Genomic DNA, 6,000 nt, shown 5'->3' with positions numbered 1-6,000 from the left:
CACCAGAGAGGCCGTTGGCCTCACTGCTGCCCTTTCCTCTCCACAGAAGCATTTTTCCCCAAGACTTGACAGCTGTTTCTCTTGGGTCAGAGTGAATTTGTCCCTCAGCTAGAATCCTGACTGTGTCTGTCTTGATATGAGCGTTGAAGGATAAATTCTTACCTAGGAGTCCTGTTTTCAACATCCACTCTTGATACTCCTATTTGTCCATGGAAATGAACATTGACTACCTATTTTCTGGCCCATCTGCTGGGATGGCATCGTGCCTGATTCCTGGCAGGGCAGGCACACTCCAAAGGGCTGGAGTTTTAGTGCACTGTGTCTGGAAGGGTAGCTGTGAGGGGAGGGGAGGGAAAGCAGTGGCACAGGGAAAAGAGAGGCAGAAAGCTGCTTTTCCTTGCTTTGCCCTCAGTCTCTGGCTCCTGGACCCTTCCATCGGCGGTCCCTGCTTTACCCCTTGCTATGGTTTGGTTAGTATTTATTTGTCCTCACCGAATCTCATGCTGAAATTTGATTACCAGTGAGGAGGTGGGGCCTAGTGGGAGTTGTTTAGGTCTTTTCCACAGTGGGTGGGTCTATGCAAACCTACCCCCAAAGTCTGAGGAAACTGAGAGGCTGAAGAAAGACATTGACATATCTACTTCCTTAGAAACATTTAACAGGGACAAAAGCCATGTCTGTGTCTCAGGCAGTGGTGAGACAGGATGGCACGCCATTACCCCCTAGACCCAGGGCTAGTGTACTATAGGGAAGGGGTGATTCAGAGGAATGTGCAGGACAATTGAAGTACAATAACATCAAGGTTCTTTGACCCAAGGGCAGGATTTACTCTAAGTATCTGCTCTTACACAGAAACAATAGGTAAACTGAAACTCTTAGAGGTCTTTCTGGAACTGGGGTTAATCAGAAGTCAGCATGGTGGATTAGCTTCCAAGATAGAGTTGCTTTAACTTCCACAGGGTTGTGAGGGGGCAGATCTCTCATGAATAGATTTATGCTCTCCCTTGGGGTGGGTATGAATTCATTCTCTATTAGCTCCAGCAAGAGCTGGTTGTTAAAAAGACCCTGGCACCTCCTCCCTCTCTCCTGCTTCCTTGCTTACCATGTGATTTCCGCGCACACTGGCTCCCCTTCACTTTCCACCATGAGTGGAAGCAGACTGAGGCTGTCATCAGACGCAGATGTTTAATCTTTAACCTATAGCCATCAGAATTGTGAGCCAAATAAGCTGTTTAAAAAATAATTTTCTCAACCTCAGGTATTTCTTTATAGCAACACAAAATGGACTAATGACTCCTCTTTAGGAATCAAGGCCTTTAGAAAACCTGGGCATGAGAATTGCGTGTGTGCGGGCAAATGGCAAATGTTAGAATCTGGCTTCAATCTCTCCCCAGCTACAAATATCTATAGGAGTCAAAACAGAGTGCAGTGGAAAAAGCGGATTACAAAATGGTAATGCATGGTGTTACCCTACTAATGTAAAATATTGTGTGTGTGTCTGTGTGTGTGTTAGTATTTCTAAGGCAGGTGGTGGAACTGTAGGTGTTTTTATTTTTTATTTCTTTTTAATTATGTACTTTCACATTTTTCCACAACAGGTATATGAATGATAACAAAAAGCAAAACAAGACAGAAATAGCTGCAAAATATTAGGTATAAGACTTTACTGAAAGACCTAAGCTCTGGGCGAGGAAGAATTTTTAAGCGCTCTGTAAAATGTCTGTCAATGGGTGCTGGCAAAATTCAACCTGGAACTTCAGAACGTGACAGCAAAGACCTGGTAGCAGAGGAGTAGGCAATGTCAGTTCTCAGAGAATGGTGAAGGGGAGTGGTGCAGGCCAGACCTTTGGAGAAGAGTCAACAGTTTCTGTGTTATTTTCTCTGAGAGGCCTTCAGTTTCCTCCACTACCTCTGTATTGGTCCGTTTTCACACTGCTAGTAAAGACATACCCGAGAATGGGCAATCTATTAAAAAAAGAGGTTTAATGGACTTACAGTTCCACGTGGCTGGGGAGGCCTCACAATCATGGTGAAAGGCAAGGAGGAGCAAGTCACGTCTTACATTGAGGGCAGCAGGCACAGAGAAAGAGCTTGTGCAAGGACACTCCCTCTTATAAAACCATCAGATCTCATGTCACTATCAGAATAGCACAGGAAAGACCTGCCCCCATGGTTCAGCTACCTCCCACTGGGTCCCTCCCACAACACGTGGGAATTCAAGATGAGATTTGGGTGGGGACACAGCCAAACCATATCAACCTCTATCCCCAGGCTTCCCTGGAAGCATTGGTTGCTCCTTTTTTTGACTCCATGGAAACCTTTTGCAGGCTGCTCTCAAGGTGGTTTTCCCCTTGTAGGTGGAATTCATTGATGCATTTCAATGAATGATACATGCTCCCTAAAAGGTGCATGGGCTCTTGGAGGGAATAAATCATCTCCTCATTGTTTAGAAGAGAACCTGGTTGGTGGTGAAGCTCAAAATAAATCTCTTCATTCCTCCAGCCAGAAAACTATTTTTTTTACAGTTTAGTTCATTTTTAAATTTTTTATTCTTTTGTGGTAAAATATACATAATATGTACCATTTGAGTCATTTTTGAGAGTACGGTTCAGTAGCATTACACATATTCAAACTGTTGTGCACTCATCGTCACCATCCATAGCAGTTTTCTCATCTTCCTAAACTGAAACTCCATGCCCATTAAACAATAACCCTCCATTCTTTCCTCTCCGGTCCCTAGCAACCACCATTTAACTTTCTGTCTCTATTAATTTTCCTATTCTAGGTACCTCATAAAAGTAGAATCAGATATTTGTCCTTTCGTGACTGGCTTATTTCATTGAGCATGATGTCCTCAAGGTTCATCTGTGTTATAGCATGTGTCAGAACGTCCTTCCATTTTGAGGCTGAATAGTATTTCATTGTGTGTGTATATACCACATTTTGTCTATCTATTGAACTGTCAATGGACACTTGGATGGTTTTGGCTACTGTGAATAAGGCTACTGCAAACATGGGTGCATAAATATCTGTTTGAGTCTTTCTGTCAGTTCTTTTGTGTATATACCCAGAAGTGGAATTGCTCAGAAAACTACTTTTTAAGTATGGTTGTCACTTGGTGTGAGGTGAAAGCAAGACTAAAAGGGGGCCATAGCTGTAGGAGTTAGAGTCCAAGTGTAGTTGGAGAACTATGTACCACAGGTTTACCTACTGAATCAGGATTTTTCTGGAAGCTAGACTAGGAATCTGTATCCCCAGGTGATCCTGATGATCAGCTAGGTTTGGGGACCACAAAACTTCATGATTTTCAAGGCTTGTTTCCACTCTACAACTGAATAAAATCTGTTACCCCTTGTCACCACAGGACGTCCATAAAATCCTTGGATGTTTTTCTTGCAAATGGAAAACAGAATTTCAAGATTATATTATCACTTTTGGAAGTATTGCATCTAATTTCCTCCCAAATCTTGCAAGAGACATATTCACCTTCTATTTTACAAATGAGGATACTATGGCATTGAGTACTTCTGCATTTTGTCTGAAGTCACCTCTGTGTGTAGGTATGCAATAACATATCAGAAATTTAGAGTCTAAGGTAAACACAATCTAATGACCTCATTTTCCAGATTTATAAATAGAGACGAAGAGGCAAAATGATTAGCAGAGTATCCATATTGGATGGCATTGGAATCAGAATTTGTGTTCCCTGACTCCACTCCTACGTGCATGTAGAGACTCATTCTCTTGAAATTCTGTGTTTTCTCCCAACTGGGTTGTGAGCTTCTTATAGTTGGTGCTTCCTTTTACACCTCAGTCTCCCATCGTGTCTAGGATGGGACTAAGCACATAATAGGGAATGACTGAGAGAGCGGAAGGGGCAGTGCAGATGAGAGGTAGAAACATGGCATGCAGAATGATGCCCCTTAAGCAGTGTGATTTGACTCTATAAATGCAAGGAGGAAGAGTTATTTCTATTGCTTGTCTATGTAGTGGGAAAAAGTACATGACATTTAGAGCAAAAAAAGGCTTAGATTTTAATACAATTTCACTGTTTATTATTTTCAGACTGTAAGCATATTATTAAACTCTCAGCCTCAGTTTCCTCATCTGTAAAATGCAAAGATTAATACTTATTTCAAGGAGTTATTAGAAATAGAAAGTAAAAGCGACCTGAACAGAACCTGATACATTGAGCACAGTAAAAAATATTAGATTGTTTCCAACCTCCTTCCTAGGAGGAAGAACACCAGTCTCAAGGAGAAGGCTAGTTTATCTGTCACAGGGGCCTGCATTGCCACGGCAACTGGGGCTACTGGAGGTTGAACTTAGGATCAATTTTTTGGCCCAGAAAATGTGCCTATTTATATCAAATCAGAAAGGAGTCAGTTATATACCCATGTTGTTAGTAGCATTATTCACAATAGCCAAGATGTGAAAGCAACCCAAATATCCATCGATAAATGAATGAATGAACAAAATGTGGTATATACACATAATGGAATATCATGTAGCCTTAGAAAGGAAGGAAAGTCTGACGCATGCTACAATATGGGTGCGCCTTAATGACATTATGCTAAGTGAAATAAGCCAATTACAAAAGGACAAATACCACAGGATTCCACTTGTATAAGGTAGCTAAAGTAGTTAAACCCATAGAAAGAGAAAATAGAATGGCGGTTGCCAGGGCAGGGGGAAGGGAATTTGGAGTTGCTGTTTAATGAATCTAGATAGAGTTTACATTTTGCATGATGAAAAAGTTCTGGAGATTGGCTGCACAACAATAGGAAGGTACTTAATGCCACAGAACTGTACTCTTAAAAATGTACAGGTGGTAAATTCTATGTCACATGTATTTTGCCACAATTTTAAAAAATTTAAAAAAGATTCCGGGAGCTATAACTATTATTTTATTCCTGCTGCACATAAACCACATCTTTTCTTTCTGAGTCCACTCAGAATCTGAAGCCATTTCTTCGGACAGAAGTCCATCCATGCTGCAACAGGTCAGAAATAGCGTCATAATTTTGAGATTAGCAAACTTTCTCTGCTAATGTCTTGCTAATTATCATATACACTTAACATTGAGCCATAATTATTATCAGTTAATTAGACCTTAAAATTTATCTTTGATAACACCTCTGGCATTTAATTATGTAACCGGTAACTCATGAATGTTATTAAGTGATGTATGACTACAGTAAAGCATAATTAGATCTCATATTTGTTTCATATCATATTGATGGTGATAATAGTTTCGTAGTTTTTACAGCTTATATAGATATGGCCACATTAAATTGATATTCTATAAGACAAACAAACATTTTAACAAGTATTCTAAAAGCATATTAAAGAGAGGCCATGAGGAAAGGAAAAGTAGATGATCATATCTGATGCCATTTAACAGAAGTTCACAACAAATAAATAGCCTGATTTCAAGGCCCCATTTTAACCTAAAAACAAATAACATTCAAATACTTATGTCATAAAAAATTAATTCCTACTGTTGTAAAACAGAGAAAAACAATGACCAAACTGTTTCTAGTACTGTTAAAGTAATAAATATGTTCCCCTAAATGTTGTATGCACATTAATTCATATTTTAAATATGCTAGTGTACTTTTAGGAAATGTGCAGTGAATCTTTTTGTAAAAGGAAGAATCTCTTTTTTAGAAAATGTGGTTACTTTCATATCTTTGTAGGAGAATTAAAAGTCAGCTAGAAATCAGGTTATCTAGTAGGATGGACTGGTAGATTCTAAACCCCTTGAGGGCAAAGTTCTTTTGCATCTTAATATCATTTACAATTCCTAATGTGGTGGTTCACCCATAGTAGGTATTTAATGAATATTGATTGCCTATTGTGTGAGACAGCTTGGGGGGAAATTAAAGAAACTCTGCTTTATGCACTTTTCTCTGAAATGGGGACAAAGAAACACACTGTATTCATCAGGGTTTTCCAGAGAGACAGAATGAGGAGGTTGGATGGGAGAGGATTTAGTAA

General features: G+C 39.8%; 1 annotated feature.

Moving 5' to 3' along the window:
- Positions 522–1,037: an enhancer, noted in NCBI's record as "NANOG hESC enhancer chr9:26753934-26754449 (GRCh37/hg19 assembly coordinates)". NCBI's record gives its function as "activates a minimal SCP1, AML or CMV promoter by ChIP-STARR-seq in primed H9 embryonic stem cells {active_cell/tissue: H9 hESC(primed)}" and the evidence as "EXISTENCE:reporter gene assay evidence [ECO:0000049][PMID:30033119]".

The sequence above is a fragment of the Homo sapiens genome, chromosome 9, assembly GCF_000001405.40.
Source record: "Homo sapiens chromosome 9, GRCh38.p14 Primary Assembly".
Classification (NCBI taxonomy): domain Eukaryota; kingdom Metazoa; phylum Chordata; class Mammalia; order Primates; family Hominidae; genus Homo; species Homo sapiens.
Note: the sequence above shows the minus strand (reverse complement) of the source record. Positions and strands in the feature narration are given on the sequence as shown.